Raw genomic sequence first — 18414 nt, forward strand, 5'->3', positions numbered from 1 at the left:
TACACCCACCTGGCTGCTGTGGATTTCTGTCCTGGTTCTAGCAGGTCCAGCATTAAGTGAATAAAGCAATATCTGAATTATTTCTGACTCCTAGTTTCATTGAAGGTGAAGTCTGTGGAGGATTTATTGTTCCAGTTGCTAGGTCTAGAAGATTCAAAACCAGGTTCCTGACATGCTTCTCCCAAATTGGATGCCCAGCTCCACTTGGAGATCTTTATTTGGGGGAGTAATCACAGATCCTCCTCTGCTTATAATCCTCTAATTCTCTAGCGGTTTTCTGTTGGAGTTAAATAAACTCCAAACTCCTCATCTTTGCCTCCAAGGCTCCGCTGATCTGGGCCTCACCATTCTTTCATGCCCCCTCCCCTATCATACTCTCTTGGGTCCCCACTCTGGCCATCCTGGACTTTTTGTATCCCTCAGACATCCCAAGCTGTTGCCTGCCCCAGGCTCCTTGAATGTCTGTTTCTTCTTCTCTCTGGAAAACTCCTGTCCAGCTGCTATACGGGCTTCTGCCATCTTTTCTCTCCAATGCATGCCAGAGGCGTGGTTATGATTAGCAAAATGGATGTTGCAAGTAACTTTTTCATTGGATTGGCTAGAAGTGTCATAGAGAGACCCCATCCCGCTTTCTTTGGCATGAACAGAGTATAAAAATCTCGCAGGGGCCGGGCGTGGTGGCTCATGCCTGTAATCCCAGCACTTTGGGAGGCTGAGGTGGGCGGATCACGAGGTCAGGAGATCGAGACCATCCTGGCTAACACAGTGAAACCCCATCTCTACTAAAACTACAAAAAATTAGCCAAGCATGGTGGCGGGCGCCTGTAGTCCCAGCTACTCGGGAGGCTGAGGCAGGAGAATGGCATGAACCCAGGAGGCGGAGCTTGGAGTGAGCTGAGATAGCGCCACTGCACTCTAGCCTAGGTGACTGAGTGAGACTCCGTCTCAAAAAAAAAAAAAAAGAAAGAAAGAAAAGAAAAAAGAATCCCGCAGGTCACCTGAACCTTACCGTGCTAGGTATGGGTAGAGGGCTCTGCACTTGTCCAGGTTCCAGCCAACTTCATGAAGGATTTTTATTGCCTGACTCCGAGTAAAAGGTTAGCTAAATCTGGGCTGCAAGGTGCAAAGTCCTGGAAAAGGAAGAGCCATGAGGGACTTCTTTTAGCTCATCAACCAAGATCCACAATTCTGTGTAGCATAATTTGGTCAGAGATGTGTTGTCTCGGGCAGACTATTGTCATCCTCTACCGACACTGTTGGAAGCTACTGATATGGACTACAAAGAATCCAGGAGTCCTGAAACCAAGTCATTTGGAGTCAGTCAAGACCAATAGCAGCATTTTATAGTGTGGGCAGGGGAAGAAAAGAGGCTGGAGGCTGGGCACAGTGGCTCACGCCTGTAATCCCAGCACTTTGGGAGGCCGAGGCGGGGGGATCACCTGGGGTCAGGAGTTCGAGACCAGCCTGGCCAATACGGTGAAACCCCGGCTCTACTAAAAATACAAAAATTAGCTGGGCATGGTGGCACATGCCTGCAATCCCAGATACTCAGGAGGCTGAGGTGGGAGAATGGCTTCAACCCGGGAGGCGGAGGTTGCAGTGAGCCGAGATTGGGCCAATGCACTCCAGCCTGGGCGACAGAGCAAGACTGTGTCTCAAAAAAAAAAAAAGAGGCTAGAGTTGCTGGAGAGAGCTTACTTAGGACATCTAACCCAGCTTTAGTCTTTCCCAGGGCTGGGTTGCCATGAAGCCCACAGGGAACTTTCTTTCAGATTCCACAGAGCAGCCTAGAGCCCCTAAAAGCGATCATCCAGTACAGACTGCCAATGAAGAAGAACAACAACTTGTACTCTGTAAGTGTGGGAGGTGGGCACTGGGGAAAGGGGAGGGCGGGGCCTTGCAAGAAAAGTGGGCGTGGCCTAAGTGGAAGGTGAGCAGAGGGAGGAGGTCGGACCTGGCAAGGGTGGGAACTCTCAAAGGAAGTAGGTGGGGACTCTCAAAGGAAGTGAAAGGTGAGGAAAGGAAGTGGGTGGGGCCTTGTGAGGAAAGTGGGTGTGACCTTTCAAAGGACGTGAAATGTGAGCAGAGGGAGGGGGTGTGACCTTACAAGGGAAGTGGGTGTGGCCTTTCAAAGAAAGTGGGAGGTAAGCAGAGATGGAATGGGGCCTCACAAATGTGGTAGGTGGGGGTTTGCAAAGGGATGTGGGTGGGGCTTCATAAATGTAGTGGGTGGGGCTTTGCAAAGGGAAGTGGATGTGGCCTTTGCAAAGGGAAATGGGAGGTGAGCAATGCGTGGGGGCCTAGCAAAAGGACGTAGGCGGGACCTTTGGGACGCATTTTTCCCTTCTGGCATGAAGGGACTGATTAATGAACAGTGTCTGTTCTGGCTAATTACTGCTGGGCAACAAATCACCACCAAAACTGGTGGCTAAAAAAAATCAGTCATTTTGTTATTAATTTTTTCCCAAGAACATTAAGATAATTAAACAATATACTAAAAAGTTGAAAATTATGTTAAAACTAACAACATTAAGTTTAAATATTTTATTTATACCCAAGCCAAAATTTGTTATAACAATGACTAAGACAACCAATTAGAATTGCAGACTTCTCAGGAGATCGAGACCATCCTGGTCAACATGGTGAAACACCGTCTCTACTAAAAATACAAAAATTAGCTGGGCATGGTGGTACGTGCCTGTAGTCCCAGCTACTCAGGAGGTTGAGGCAGGAGAATCGCTTGAACCCGGGAGGCGGAGGTTCCAGTGAGCCGAGATCACACCACTGCACTCCAGCCTGGCAACAGAGTGAGACTCTGTCTCAAAAAAAAAAAAAAAAAAAGGCCGGGCGCCAGTGGCTCACACCTGTAATCCCAGCACTTTGGGAGGCCGAGGCAGGCGGATCACGAGGTCAGAAGATCGAGACCATCCTGGCTAACACGGTGAAACCCCGTCTCTATTGAAAATACAAAAAAATTATCCAGGCGTGGTGGTGGGCGCCTGTAGTCCCAGCTACTCGGGAGGCTGAGACAGGAGAATGGCGTGAACCCAGGAGGCGGAGCTTGCAGTGAGCTGAGATCGCGCCACTGCACTCCAGCCTGGGCAACAGAGCAAGACTCCGTCTCAAAAAAAAAAAAAAAAAAAAAATTACAAACTTTTTAGAGGTTCAAAGTGACCACTACAGCAACAGTCTTAAGTCTCGGATAACTTAAAAGACTACTTTGTTAGCAATAACACTTACAGCAGGGTTTCTCAACCTCCTTGCTGTTGACATTTGGGGCAGGTAATTCTCTAAGGAGCTGTCCGACGCCCTGTAGGATGTTGAGCTGCATTGCTGGCCTCCACTCACTGGATGCCAGGAATATATCCCCTGCCTCCCACTTGAAACAACCAAAAGTGTCTCCAGACACTGCCTAATATACCCTGGTGGGGGGAGGGTGGGCGGTGGTGGAGTAGTATCACCCCTGGTTGAAGACGCTAATTTATAGGGGAGAGTCACATAGAAGGGCATCTACTCCTCTGCAAGGGAGAGTAGAACCTACCATTTTAAGATTCTGTTTAGGCTGGGCACAGTAGCTCATGCCTGTAATTGGGAGGCTGAGGTGGACAAATAACCTGAGGTCAAGAGTTCGAGACTAGCCTGGCCAACATGGAGAAACCCTGTCTCTACTAAAAATACAAATAATAATAATAATAATAATAATAATAATAATAATAATAATAATCGCCCAAGCACAGTGGCTCACACCTGTAATCCCAGCACTTTGGGAGGCTGAGGCGGGCAGATCATGAGGTCAGGAGGTACAGACCATCCTGGCCAACATGGTGAAACCCCGTCTCTACTAAAAAATACAAAAAATTAGCTGGGCATGGTGGCATGCGCCTGTAGTCCCAGCTGCTCAGGAGGCTGAGGCAGGGGAATCACTTGAACCCGGGAAGCGGAGGTTGCAGTGAGCCGAGATAGTGCCACTGCACTCAAGCCTGGCGAAAGAGCGAGACTCCATCTAAAAAAAAAAAGGCTGGGTGTGGTGGCTCATGCCTGTAATCCCAGCACTTTGGGAAGCCGAGGTGGGTGGATAACCTGAGGTCAGGAGTTCGAGACCATCCTGACCAATATGGTGAAACCCCACCTCTACTAAAAATACAAAAATTAGCCGGGCGTGGTGGCACGCACCTGTAGTCTCAGCTACTCAGGAGGCTGAGAGAGGAGAATCACTTGATCCCAAGAGGCAGAGGTTGCAGTGAGCCAAGAGCAGTGAGCGGAGATCACGCCACTGCACTCCAGCCTGGGCGACAGAGCAAGACTCTGTCTCCAAATAAACAAATAAATAAAATAAAATACAAAAAAAAAAAAAAAAAACAGCCAGGCGTGGTGGTGCATGCCTGTCCAAGCTACTCGGGAGGCTAAAGAGGATCACTTGAACCTGGGAGGTGGAGGTTGCAGTGAGCTGAGATCACGCCATTGCACTCCAGCCTGGGTGACAGAGCAAGACTCTTGTCTCAAAAGAAAAAAGAAAGAAAGAAAGAAAAAGATTTAGTTTAGGACCCAGAAATGAGCAAAAACGAATGAGACTGAGAAAGTGGACTGTGACATTTGGGAAGGAAAATGGCCGAGTAAGACAATGAACTGTGCCAGTTGTGATGCTTGGCATCTGTGTGCCCAACAGACTGAGGACCAACCCAGATCTCCAAGACAGGGGATTGGATTGGACCAGCATGGGTCTGGTGCCCATCCCAATCCAGTCATTTGTGGCTGTGGAAGCCGGGGGTCTTCTACCGGCCTTTGAAGGAACACCCTTTGTAGGGAGACCTAGGGGCATCTCTGAGAAAGGACAGGTTCCCCCAGAGGGCTTGTGTGTGCTCTTCCTCTCACCCTTGCCCTACCTTGTTACAGATTATCTGGGCAAAGGGCTTTGCCTGCTCAGATGAAGCCAGCATCACCCTGGGCAGGTTTCAGGCAACACTGGCCATCTGTAGAGGACTTTGAGGGGCCTTTTTTTTTTTTTTTTGAGATGGAGTTTCACTCTGTTGCCCAGGCTGGAGTGCAGTGGCGTGATCTTGGCTCACTGCAATCTCCACCTCCCCATTTCAAGCGATTCTCCTGCCTCAGCATCCTGAGGAGCTGGGATTACAGGCGCCTGCCACCACACCCGGCTAATTTTTGTATTTTTAGTAGAGATGGGGTTTCACCATGCTGGCCATGTTGGTCTTGAACTCCTGACCTCGTGATCCGCCCACCTCAGCCTCCCAGTGCTGGGATTACAGGTGTGAGCCACCGTGCCTGGCCGAGGGGCCTCCATCTTTAAGTCAGCGCATCACCCTCATCCAGTGCTTTGTTGGGGGTTCAATGGTAGAATTTCTGCAGATCCCATGTGATGCTCAGTCGATACAACCCAAGAGTTCACTTTGCGGCACCGAATTCTGTCATAGTTAAGAGCACAGGCTCTGGAGTCAGACCTTGGGTTTGAATGCTAGCTCCTCTCTTCACTTGCCTTAAGTAATCTGCCTTGGGCAAGTAATCTACCACCCCTGAGCCTCAGCTTCTTCACCTGCCAGAGTGAGGCAATGCATCAATTATCAATAAGGATGCCTTTGGTCGTAAGTGACAAAAGTCTGACCCCAAATGGCTTAAGCAACAAACAAACAAAAAGATAATCTGTTGGACCATGCAACTACAGTTCAGGGCGTGGATTTCAGGCATGGCTGGAACCAGGGGCTCAAAGAATGTGCCCAGGCTCTATTTTCCTTTCTCTATTTCTTGGCTCCGCTCCAGCCTTGCTTTCTCACATAGTCCTGAGATGGTTCAGCAGCTCCTAGAGCTACATCTTGACTCATTCACATACACAGTCTGTGTCTCAGAATTCCCAGGTAAAGTCTTCATCTTCATTATGATTGGACCACTTGAGGTCACATGTCCAGACTTGATCCAATCACCATAACCCAGGCTGATAGAACAGTTTGAGCCAATTAGGGTTGACTTCCAGATCTGTGGGTGAAGTCAGCCCCATCCAATTGGTGACTAAGAAGTAGAGTGGGGAGTGGAATTTGGGAAGGCAGCGAACAAATAATACCTAACTCCGTAGAACACTTACCACCTGCCAACTACTATTCTGAGCACTTTGCATATATTAACTCTCTTACTGCTTAGAACAACCCAAGGAGTTGCGTCCTGACATCATTCCCATTTTACAAATGAGGAAACTGAGGCACAGGGAGCTTAAGTGGCTTGGTGACGCTGCGAGGAAGTGGCAGAACTGGAAGCAGAGATCTTGGGACTTTTGTAAGAGGTGCCAGGACTGGCACATCCTAAGCCCTTCCACCTGCTGAGGATCATTCTTTAGGAAAAGCTGATAGGACGAGGTCTGGCTGGGTGAGAGGACTCCCGACTGCCTTCTCATCCTCCGCTTGTCTTTTCTGTCCACAGTGGGATGATTTCATGGAACTTGGCAGAAGTATCCCTGACACCCAACTGGAGCAGGTCATCGAGAGCCAGAAGGCGAATCAATGCGCAGTGCTCATCTACACTTCAGGGACCACAGGCATACCCAAGGGAGTGATGCTCAGTCATGACAACGTACGCCAAAGTCCCTTTGCTCTGGAGTGGTGGCCTTTGGGCTGTTTCTCTTGTTGGCTTCCAGGGGCAGGGTGGCATTCCAGGGTCTAGTACGCAGTGTGGCTCCTTCACCATTGGGGGTTAGAGAGTAGCGTAGTTGCTTCACTAGGGGGCAGCAGAGTGCAGTGATTGAGATCAAGGAATGCTGGCCATGTCAAAAGCAGAAAAATGTCTGGCAGGGTATGCACCCAGCAGACAATGATTCCTCTGTGTGAGTCAGGAAGGTTGTGTGTGTGTGTGTGTGTGTGTGTGTGTGTGTGTGTGTGTGTGTGTGTGTTTTGAGATGGGGTCTCCCTCTGTCGCCCAGGCTGGAGTGCAGTGGCGCAATCTTGGCTCACTGCAACCTCTGCCTCCGTTCAAGTGATTTTCCTGCCTCAGCCTCCCAGGTAGCTGGGATTACAGGCACCCGCCACCATGCCTGGCTAATTTTTGTATGTTTATTAGAGACAGGGTTTCACCAAGTTGGCCAGGCTGGTCTTGAACTCCTGACCTCAGGTGATCCACCGCCTTGGCCTCCCAAAGTGCTGGGATTACAGGCATGAGCCACCACGCCCAGCCTACTTTATTTTTCAGTTGTGTGTGTGTTTTGTTTTGTTTTGCTTTTTGAGACCGAGTCTGGCTCTGTGCCCCAGGCTGGAGTACAGTGGCACTCCACTCACTGCAACCACTGCCTCCTGGGTTCAAGCAATTCTCGTGCCTCAGCCTCCTGAGTATCTGGGACTACAAGCCAGTGCCACCACATCCAACTAATTTTTTGTATTTTGGGTAGAGATGGAGTTTCACCACGTTGACCAGGCTGGTCTCAAACTCCTGACCTCAAGTGATCTGCCTGCCTCGGCCTCCCAAAGTGTTGGGATTACAGGCGTGAGCCACAGCACCTGGTCTGTTTTTACACTGTTTTTAGAGATGGGTTCTTACCATGTTGCCCAGGCTGGAGTGCAGTGACTACTCACAGGCACAATCATCATGCACTTAAGCTTCAGACTCAACAGGCTCAAGTGATCCTTCTGCCTCAGCCTCCCAAGTAGCTGGGTCTACAGGTGCATGCAATCACACCTGGCCTGCTGGTTTTTAAATGAAGAATTTCTATAAAAGCATTCTTATAAATGCTTCCCTGCCCCCCCTCAGCCTAGGGTAATAGTTACCAGCACACACTGGTGTCTGACCACCTCAGTGTTGGAATCCTGGCTTTGCTACTTGTAAGTAACCATGTAAGCTGGTGTGACATTGGTCATATGACATCACCAAACTGTGTGTCAGTTTGCCCAACTGTAAAATGGGGAGAGTAGAGGGCCCAATTCTGGCAGAGGGCCTGGCCCATGGAAGGTCAGCAATGGAAGATTGCAAAAGTCAGCCTCCACTCCCTTAATACACTGTCTCAGCTAGTGCTGTATAGCAAGGTGTGGAGCTAGGATCATCCCCCTGGGTCTGGAGGTCCCGATCCTAGATCCACACCCTGGAAATCTTCTCTGAATTTCTCATTTTAACATGAATCCAAATCTTTTGCCAACACTGTCTCCTTCAGCAGAACTCCTTTCCTCCTCCTGCATCTTAGCTCAAGGCCTCTTAGAAGTTTTCTGATTTTTCTACAACTATGGTTTTTACTCTCCCACACTGTCTGTCTGAGCAATATCACGGGCCCAGGACTAAGGTCTATATGTAAATTAAAACTTGGCTTCCTGTAAAATTTGATGCATAAATATATTTTGCTATAACAACAAGGAAAGCAGGCTTCAAGTTTGGCAATAAATCACGGGAGTACAAATTAAAAGTTCAGACATTACAGAAGCCCTTGGACTCAATTGTATGATGCATGATAGAGAAAAATTATTTTTGGCCCAGTCTCCATCATCGCTCCCCTGGACCTGTGTGGTTGCTTCCACCCCATCCGGTTACCCGCCTCCCACCCAACTCCCACCCTCACCCCCACCCCCAGTCTATCCTCTCTACAGCCACCAGAGAGTGCCTGTGAGCACCTGAGTCAAGTCCCAATCCTCCTCTGTCTGCAGCCCTCCATGGCTCCCACTTCCCTCCAGGTAAAAGCCCAAGTCTCCTGAGGCCCACAAGGCACTGCAAGCCTAGCCCCATCTCCCTTCTCCTCTCCTCTCCTCCCTCTCTCCCCCTTGCTCACTCTGTTCTAGCCACATGGTCCTCCTTGCTGTTCCTCCAACACACCAGACACGTCCTGCCTCTTGGTCTTTGCATGAGCTCCGTGGGAAGTATTTTTCCACACAGCTTGTTCCCTCCCCTCCTTCGGGTGGGTCTCTGCTCAGTGTCACTTCCTCAGTGAAGCCCTCCCTAACTTCCATGTTTGAAATAGCAAACAATAAACCACCCCATTACTACCTAATTCCCATTTGGCTACTTTTTTTCTTCCTTAGAAAATTTTGACACTGTCATATTATATGCTCATTTGTTTATCAGGAACATCAGCTCCTTGAGGTCAGGGGTTTTCTGTCTTATTCACTACTGTAACTGCAGTGCCTGATGAGCAGGAGGACTCAATCCACTTTTGGGAAATGAATGAATGAGGGAAATCTGATTAAACAGGATATTCCCCTCTATGCTGGCTAGTATTTATGCTCCTAGTGGCTGCATGTGTGGTAAGACATTCTCCTAGCACAGGCATTATGAGCATAGATCCTGGAGCAAGACTGCCCACTTTTTAAAGGGGCTGGTTTTTTTCTTATTAAGTTCCTTATAGATTCTGAATATTAGTCCTTTTTTATTTTTATTTTTTTTGAAACAGAGTCTTGCTCTGTCATCCAGGCTGGAGTACAGTGACACTATCGCGGCACACTGCAATGTCCACCTCCCAGGTTTAAACAATTCTCCTGCCTCAGCCTCCCAAGCAGCTGGGATTACAGGCACCCACCACCACACCTGGCTAATTTTTGTATTTTTAGAAGAGGTGGGGCTTCGCTATGTTGGGCAGGCTGGTCTCGAACTCCTGACTTCAAGTGATCCACCCACCTCAGCCTCCCAAAGTGTTGGAATTACAGGCGTGAGCCATGGCGCCTGGCCAATATTAGTCCTTTAATTGATGCACAGTTGCAAATATTTTCTCCTATTCTGTAGGTTGTCTTTACTCTGTTAATTGTTTCTTTTGCTGTGCAGAAGCTCTTAAGTCCCAATTGTCCATGTTTGGTTTTGTTGTATTTGTTTTTGTGGTCTTAGTCATAAATTCTCTGCCTAGCCCAATGTCCAGAAGAATTTTTCCTAGGTTTTCTTCTAGTTTCTTCATTCTTCTGCACATGGCTAGCCAGTTTTCCCAGCACCACTTAGTGAATAGGATGTCCTTCCCCATTGTTTATTTTTGTTGACTTTGTCAAAAATCAGTTGGTTGTGTGTGGCTTAATTTTTGAGTTCTCTATTCTGTTCCATTGATCTCTGTGCCTATTTTTGTACCAGTACCATGCTGTTTTAGTTACTATAGCCTTGTAGTATAATTTGAAGTCAGATAATGTGATGCCTCTAGCTGTGTTCTTTTTGCTTAGGATTGCTCTATTTGGGCTTTCTGGTTCCATATAAATTTTAGAATTGTTTTATATAATTATGTGAAAAATCATATTGGTAATTTGATAGGAATTGTGATGAATCTGTAGATTGCTTTGGGCAGTATGGTCATGTTAACAATGTTGATTCTTCCTGTCAATGAGCATGGAATGCTTTTCCATTTGTGTCATCTGTGATTTCTTTCATCAATGTTTTGAAAAGTTATTCTCGTAGAAGTCTTTCATCTCCTTGGTTAAATGTGTCTGTGGGTATTTTATTTTTTGTGTAGCTACTGTAAATGGGATTGAATTCTTGATTTGGTTTTCAACTTTAAGAATATTGGTATATAGAAATGCTACTGATTTTTGTACATTGATTTTGTATCCTGAAACTTTATTGAAGTCATTTATCTAGGAGTGTTTTGGAGGAATCTTTAGGGTTTTCTAGATGTAGAATCATATCATTGGTGAACAGAGATAATTTGACTTCCTCTGTTCCTATTTTCCTATTCATACATCTTTTATTTCTTGCTTGTGCCTGATTGCTCTGGCTAGGACTTCTAGTACTATGTTGAATAGCAGTGGTGAAAGTGGATATCCTTGTCTTGTTTCAGTTCTTAGAGGGAATGCTTCCAACTTTTCCCCTTCAGTATGATGTTTGCTGCAGGTTTGTCATAGACAGCTCTTATTATTTTGGGGTATATTCCTTGATGCCTAGTTTGTTGAGGGTTCTTATCATAAAGAATGTTGGATTTTGTCAAATGCTTTTTCTGCAGCCATTGAGATGATCATATGGCTTTTGATTTTAATTCTGTGTATGTGATGAATCACATTTATTGATTTGTGTATGTTGAACCATCCTTGCATCCCAGGAATAAAGCCCACTTAAAAAGTATCTTTATTTTCATTTGTTTCAAAGATTGTTTTTATTGCTTCTTTAATTTGTTTACCCAAAAGTCATTAAGGAGCAAGTTGCTTAGTTTCCATGTATTTGTGTGGTTTTGAGGGTTCCTCTTGGTATTGATTTCTAATTGTATTCCACTGTGGTCTGAGAAGATGCTTGGTATGATTTTGATTTTTTTAAATTTATTAAGACTTTCATTGTGGCCTAGCATGTGGTTAATCTTAGAGAACGTTCCATGTGCAGATGAGAAAAATGTATATTCAGAGGCCACTGGGTAGAGTATTCTGAAGATGTCTATTAGGTCCATTTGGTCAACTGTCCAATTTAGTCTAGTATTTCTTTATTTTCTGCCTCAATGTTCTGTCTGTCAGTGGGGTGTTGAAGTCCCTCACAATTATTGTATGGCTATCTCTTAAGTCTAGTAGTACTTGTCTTATAAATCTGGGGGCTCTGATGTTGGGAGGGTGGTTAGATCTTCTGGTTGAATTTAACCCTTTATCATTATATAATGCCTTTCTTTGTCTTTTTTTTTTTCTTAACTGTCATTAGTTTACAATCTGTTTTATTGGATAAAACAGTAGCACCCTCTCATCTTATTTGTTTTCTGTTTGCATGATAGATCTTTCTCCATCCCTTTACTTTGAGCCTCTGAGTGTCATTACATGTGAGATGGGTCTCTTGAAGGCAGCAGCAGGTTGGGTCTTATTTATTATTATTTTTTATCAAATTTGTCACTCTATGTCTTTTAAGTGCTGTATTTAGGATGTTTATGTTCAAGGTTAATATTGATATGTGAGGTTTTGTTCCTGTCATGTGTTTTTGCTTTGTATTCTTGATTGTTTAGTTGCTTTATAGGGTCTGTGGGCTTTGTGCTTACATGTACTTTTATGGTAGCAAGTATTGTTCTTTTGTTCTCATGTTTAGAACTCCTTTGGGCATTTCTTTTCGGGCTGATCTAGTGATGACAAATTCCTTTACATTTGCTTATCTGAGAAATATTTTATTTCCCATTTATGAAACTTAGTTTAGTGGGATATAAAATTATTGGCTGGCATTTATTTTTCTTTAAGAAGGCTAAAAATGGGCCCTCAATCTCTTCTGGCTTGTGAGGTTTCTGCTAAGAAATCCACTGTACGTCTGATGGAATTTCCTTTATATGTAATTTGGCCCTTTTCTCTAGATGCCTTTAAGATTTATTTTTTTTCTACATTGACCTTGGTCTGATGACTATATGCCTCGGGGGTGGCCATATTGTGTAGCATCTCACAGGAGTTCTCTGGATTTCTCATATCTAGATGTTGACCTCTCTGGCAAGATTAGGTAAATTTTCCTGTATTACTCCCTCAAATATGTTTTCCAAGTTGCTTAATTTTTCTTCTTTTCTCTCAGGAATGCATTTAAGTCACAGGTTTGGTTGCTTTACATAATCCCACATTTCTCAAATACTTTGGGTTTTTTATTTCTTTTTTCTTTACTTTTGTCTGAGTTGTTTGAAAGACCATTCTTCAAGCTCTGAAATTCTTTCTTCTGCTTGGTCTAGTCTAACTATATTTTTAAATTTCTATAGTGAAATTTTCAATTCCAGAAGTTCAATTTGGTTTTTTCTTAATATATCTATGTTGTATTTCATATATTGAAGTGTTCTTCTAGTTTCCTTATATTGGTTTCCAACTTTCTCTTGGATCTCATTAAGTTTCCTTCCAATTCATATTTTGAATTCTTTATATGTCATTTCAAACATTTCAGTCTGATGAGGACCCATTGCTAGAGAACTGGTGAGATTCTTTGGAGGTGTTGAAACACTCTGGCTTTTTCTACTGCCAGATTTCTTGCACTGATTCCTTCTTATCTGAGGGAGCTGTCACTTCTTGTTTTTGAATCTTCTATTGTTTGGATGGGGCTTTTGTATTTTTTAATTCTAGTTTCCCTTGAGGGTATGGCTGTGGTGTATGTTGTGTGTGATTGTATGGCCTTGCTTCTGAGTGCTTTTGGGGGCCAAAGGTCTGTATGGGTTCCACGGTTGTGGACAGCTTCTGTGCAGTGGCTAAGGTCTGTACGGGTTCCATGGTTGTGGACAGCTTCTGTGCAGTGGCTAAGGTCTGTATGGGTTCCATGGTTGTGGACAGCTTCTATGCAGTGGCTTTCTCAGATGCTGCTTGTTGTAATGATGTAATGGACATAACAGCCAACACTATCTCCTGCAGGACTGAGGGTGTGGAGGTCTCAGGAGGCTTATCTCATGCACTGTCAATAAACCCTTCCAGTAGCAAGATTTTTGTTTGGTGGTGCAGTGCAGGATGCAGTCCAGTAGATCGCACTTAAAAGTTAGAACCAGCAGGTAGGCTGGTGCCAAGTAGGCATGCATACCCTGATGGAGGTAGCAGGAAGAGATCATGATGGGGTGCACTGAGGTCTCAGGGGTAGGGGCAGGGAATGCACCAGCTCCTTGTCCTCAGCCAGCAGGAATGCAGTCCGCTTCTCTATCACACCCCTGTCATGGGGCTCACAATCTTCTGTTTATAAAGGCTTCATCCTTTAGTTCCTGGCAGCAGTGTGGGGTGGGAGGGCAGGTGGGAAATGACCCCTTCTCCATGTCTTTTCCCAGGCATGGGTGCTGCCCACTCCAGTGGTTTGTGCCACACCCACATTTCCTTTGTCCCAAGGGGGGCTTTGGTGGGCTGCATTCTCCTCCTCCTTTAGGGGTTACCCATGCCAAGGGTTAGATCTTCAGGGATCCTGCGGCCCCCCAGAGGCTCACTGGTCCCTTGTGCTTGCCAAAGTCACAGCGCGTTGTGGGGTATGTTTGTGGGGAATCTGGTGGTGCAGTGGGTCAAGGGCAGAGAATCCCCAGGCAGGGCAGTGGCACCACAGGTGCACAACCAGTGTGGTGCCTGCTGTCTCAGTTCAGGTCTGAGGGGAGTGTGGGCATGCCTGTGTGAACTGACCACCTGGTTCTCTGTCCCTGGGAAGTTCTCTAATCAGCACCGATGGTGTTGGCCTGGGTTGCAAGGGCAGAGGAGCTCCCTGAGAGTTTAGTGACCAGGATATTGTCAAAGGCGAGTGGGAAGCAAAGAAGCACTCCCACCTATCCTTTCCATGGGGCTCTGAGTTCCTCAGGAGCTGATCTTTGACAGGCCCTTGCAGCTTTCCTTTCCTACGCCGCAGCTTCTTCCTGTGGGCACTCCAAGAGGTCCTGCCTCTCCTTCCTCCATTTTCAGTTCAAAACTTATCCATTTACCAGTAATTTTGATCTTCTTCCTGAAAACTGACATCTGATGTCCGTTGTCAGCCATCACGTATCAATACACTGTTAGCAAGTGGCAGATTCTCATTCATATCCTTCTGGTTCCAAACCACAAGGCTTTCCACAATAGGGAAGATGACACTTGTCAGCCACGCTGAGCCCAAGCCACAGGGCTCTGGGCAGGGTCATGCTGTCTGTGGGTAGCTTACAGGACCAACATGAGGACATCACTCTTGAACTATTTTTTTTTTTTTTTTTTGAGACAGAGTCTGCTCTGTCGCTCAGGTTGGAGAGCAGTGGCACAATCTCGACTCACTGCAACCTCTGCCTCCCAATTTCAAGCGATTCCCCCACCTCAGCCTCCTGAGTAGCAGGGATTACAGACGTGTGCCAACACACCCATCTAATTTTTGTATTATTAGTAGAGATGGGGTTTCACCACGTTGGCCAGGCTGGTCTCGAACTCCTGACCTCAGGTGATCCACCCGCCTTGGCCTCCCAAAGTGCTGGGACTACAAACATGAGCCACCACGCTTGGCCATCACTCTTGAACTTCTTAACCTGGTGGCTGACTCTCCCAACAGCAAGTGGTCCCAAAGATTTGTCAGTCCCAGAATTTCCACAGCATCCCTTCTGCTCCTTTCTGTCAGTCAAAACAAATCACTGGACCAATTCTGTCTCAAAGGAAAGAGAAACAAATTCCACCTCAGAATGGGAGGAGTAGCAGAGAATCTGCAGCTCTGTTTAATCTACCACATATACATAAAATGCTTAGAACAATGCCTGGCATACAGGAAGCCATGTCAAGGATAGCTATTAATATTGTATTTGGCTGGGTGCAGTGGCTTATGTATGTAATCCCAGCACTTTGGGAGGCCGAGACAGGAGGATTGCTTGAAGCCAGGATTGTTTGAGAGAAGGCTGGGAAACACAGCAAGACCTCATCTCTACAAAAATGTTTTAAAAATTAGCTGGGCATGGTGGCACATGCCTGTAGTCCCAGCTACTCGGGAGGCTGAAGTGAGACGATCCCTTGAGCCCAGGAGTTCGAGGCTGCAGTGAGCTATGATGCTGCCACTGCACTCCAGCCTGGGTGACAGAGTGAGGCCCTGTCTCATCATCATCTTTACAGCAAGAAGTTAAAGGTAGCCTTAGATTCTTGCCAGATGTCTACAGCTCAGTGTTTCTCCCGTGTAGGGAACACTATGTTCAGTGCTAAGATAAACACATTTTAACTCCCCACTAAAACCCCACGAGGAAAATTTTGTCACTAACCCTTTTACAGATGAGAAAACTGAGGCTCAGACAGAGGAAATTACTTGGTCAAGATCACAGAGCAAGGGAAGCTCTGAACTGAGATCTGAACCAGGAGTGTCTAAACCATTGTACATCATAGACTATACACAACAAGCCCCTTCTCTCAACAAGTGTGCTAGGTTCCTTGAACCCTGGACTGTGCATGACAAGGTTTATGGGAGCCTTCATCCTGAGCCCAGGGAAAGAAGTGGAACTAGCCTTGAGGGATATTTTGGGCTGACTGCTTTATGTCCTTTACTGCAGTTAACCATTCCTTCTATTTCCTCATTCATTCAAGAAAAATTCATTGAGCACCTAGTATGTACTGGGGAATATTCCAGGAGCAGGGGAAACAGCAGCAAACAAGACAGACTCAATCTGGACCTTGGGAACAGATAAGAAATGAACAAATGAAAACATTCAGTTTGTGTGACATGGTACGTACAGACTTAGGCAGTCAATGGCACTTTCACCTTAGATGGTGTGAGATGGCCCTTCTAAGGAAGTGACATTTCAGCTGAGACTTAATGTTCAAGAAGTAGCCAGCCATGGGGGTGGGGGACGGTGAGGGAAAAGGCTGAAGAAAGAGCATTCCAAGCAGGGGGAATAGCCAGTCCAAAGGCCCTGAGGCTGGACCATGCCTGATGCATTGGAGCAACAGCGAGGAGGTCTGGGTGGCTGGATTAATGAAGTAACTATTCACCAGAGATTTATGACACTAGTGAGAAATATAAGTGACAAAATTATAGGTACACTAAAACTTTACATCTACATATGCATTGGAGAAAGAAAAATGCTAATAATGCTAATTACTGGGGTGTTTATATGATGGGATTATGGGTAGCCTTTTTGTTTGTTTGACCATGTTGGTTCCATAGTTCTATATTGGACCTGAGAAGCCTCTGTCCCCACTTTAAAGAAGAGGCAATAAAAGCCACGAGGGATTTTAAGGAAATAGCCCAAATGTCTAGCAAACAGTGGAGTCAGGGTTTGACTCTGGGACACTTGCTGAATCCAGTTTTCTGAGTTCTGTCGTTGGACCCAAGGAAGTCTGCAACCTCCCTACTCCTAAAGCTGCCTGCTAAATTTTGCAACTCCTCCTAACTTCAGGCAAGTTAGTTAAGGACTCTGTGCTTCTGTTTTCACATAATTCTCCCTGATTAAAAAAACCGTTAGACCTAGGGCTTTACCCAAAAAAATCTGTCGAATGATTAACAACCATCTACTCACCTGGGCTACCCAAGAGGCTGAAGTGGGGGCCCCAGGTCCTTACTCGATCTTACCTTGAGAGCATCTGCTTGAGCAAAGTATGTGAGCGCCCCAATCTTTATGGGTACCCAGATGTCCATCATCTGTGCTGCAATATGGCTGAGTGGGAGGTAGCTGACCACCATCTCATGCTTGTCTGTCAGTTGAAAGTCCTTTGCCACTGCTCCTGCCATCCACGTGATCTGTAACATAAGGGACAATCCAAGGTGCCTTATACTGACTTATGAAAAAACAACACACACACACACACGCACTCAGCCAGACTGCAGCACAGACAATGGACATCTGGGTACCCATAAAGATCGGGGCACTCACATACTTTAGGCTTAAGCACATGCTCTCAAGGTAAGATCGAATAAGGACCTAGGGCCCCCACTTCATCCTCTTGGGCAGCCCAGATGAGTAGATGGTTGTTAATCATTCGACAGATTTTTTGGGTGAAGCTCCAAAAATTTTGGGAGAATTATAGTTACCAACCCCCAGGTGTTATGATGATTAAATGACTTGGTGTTTGTAAAGTATGAAGACAGTGTCTTGGTCATAGTAGGTGCTTTATAAGTGTTTACTTAATTAGTTTATTTATTTAGCTAAATACATTTAAAATCGCCCTCCAGGCTGGGCATGGTCGCTCACATCTGTAAACCTAGCACTTTGGGAGGCTGAGGCGGGAGGTCGCTGGAGGCCAGGAGTTTGAGGCCAAGCTGGAAAACATAGTGAGACCCCCTCTCTACAAAAAAAGTTAAAAAAAAATTAGCTGGGTGTGGTGGTGTGTGCCTATAGTACCAGTTACTCAGGAGGCTGAGATGGGAAGATTCCTTGAACCCAGGAGTTTGAGGCTGCAGTGAGCTGTGATCACACCACTGCACTCCAGTCTGGGTGAGCCCTGTCTGAAAAATAAATAAAAATTTAAAAATAAAATGGCCCTTCTATGAGGGTGAGGCACCTTGGATTGTCCCTTATGTTACAGATCACGTGGATTGCAGGAGCAGTGACAAAGGACTTTAAACTGACAGACAAGCATGAGACGGTGGTTAGCTACCTCCCACTCAGCCATATTGCAGCACAGATGATGGACATCTGGGTACCCATAAAGATTGGGGCGCTCACATACTTTGCTCAAGCAGATGCTCTCAAGGTAAGATTGAGTAAGGACCTGGGGCTCCGACTTCATCCTCTTGGGCAGCCCAGGTGAGTAGATGGTTGTTAATCATTCGACAGATTTTTTGGGTGAAGCCCCATGTCTAACGGTTTTATCTCTGCCCTCATCTTAATGCTCTATTTAGAAGCATTAAAAACAAGACCAGGCACAGTGGCTCAATCTGTAATCCCGGCACTCTGGGAGGCCAAGACGGGCAGATTGCTTGAGCTCAGGAGTTGAGACCAGCCTGAGCAAGATGGCGAAACCCTATCTCTACAAAAACCAATAATAATAGTAAATTTTTCTAAAAAACAAAAAACACCTGACCAAATAAAACAACTTTTTTTTTTTTTTAACCAGCTGGCTACATTCTCCTAGTTTTTATCTTTATCCAAGTCAGGGCATCCATGTATGGTTATGTAGATTGAACACTGAACAACCCAAGACAAAGATGTAC

At 45.9% G+C, this 18414-nt stretch overlaps 1 protein-coding gene and 1 long non-coding RNA gene across 14 annotated transcripts in view, besides 1 other annotated feature; one reads left to right on the forward strand and one right to left on the reverse strand.

Moving 5' to 3' along the window:
• Positions 1–18414, reverse strand: part of LOC105372255 (uncharacterized) — a 74099-nt gene that overhangs the window by 34017 nt on the left and 21668 nt on the right. The window contains exons 2-3 of one of the 2 annotated variants that reach the window (NR_187773.1): positions 16834–17001; positions 11014–14928 (exon numbers count right to left, since the gene is read on the reverse strand). This is a non-coding gene — a long non-coding RNA (uncharacterized LOC105372255). Of the gene's footprint in view, positions 1–11013; positions 14929–16833; positions 17002–18414 lie in introns of those variants that run through there. The other variant, NR_187772.1, reaches the window with a different exon arrangement.
• ACSBG2 (acyl-CoA synthetase bubblegum family member 2) overlaps positions 1–18414 on the forward strand; it is a 57459-nt gene that overhangs the window by 23810 nt on the left and 15235 nt on the right. For 10 of the 12 annotated variants that reach the window (NM_001289180.2, NM_001289177.2, NM_030924.5 and 7 more), the window contains 3 exons: positions 1773–1853; positions 6424–6573; positions 17787–17954. In NM_001289180.2, the coding sequence (NP_001276109.1) occupies positions 1827–1853; positions 6424–6573; positions 17787–17954 (345 nt within the window). In that variant the 5' untranslated portion in view covers positions 1773–1826. Of the gene's footprint in view, positions 1–1772; positions 1854–6423; positions 6574–15848; positions 15988–17786; positions 17955–18414 lie in introns of those variants that run through there. The other 2 variants (XM_011528329.2, XM_047439477.1) reach the window with 2 other exon arrangements.
• Positions 2043–2102: a silencer, noted in NCBI's record as "silent region_9945". NCBI's record gives its function as "represses an Ori minimal core promoter by ATAC-STARR-seq in GM12878 lymphoblastoid cells {active_cell/tissue: GM12878}" and the evidence as "EXISTENCE:reporter gene assay evidence [ECO:0000049][PMID:35858748]".

The sequence above is a fragment of the Homo sapiens genome, chromosome 19, assembly GCF_000001405.40.
Source record: "Homo sapiens chromosome 19, GRCh38.p14 Primary Assembly".
Classification (NCBI taxonomy): domain Eukaryota; kingdom Metazoa; phylum Chordata; class Mammalia; order Primates; family Hominidae; genus Homo; species Homo sapiens.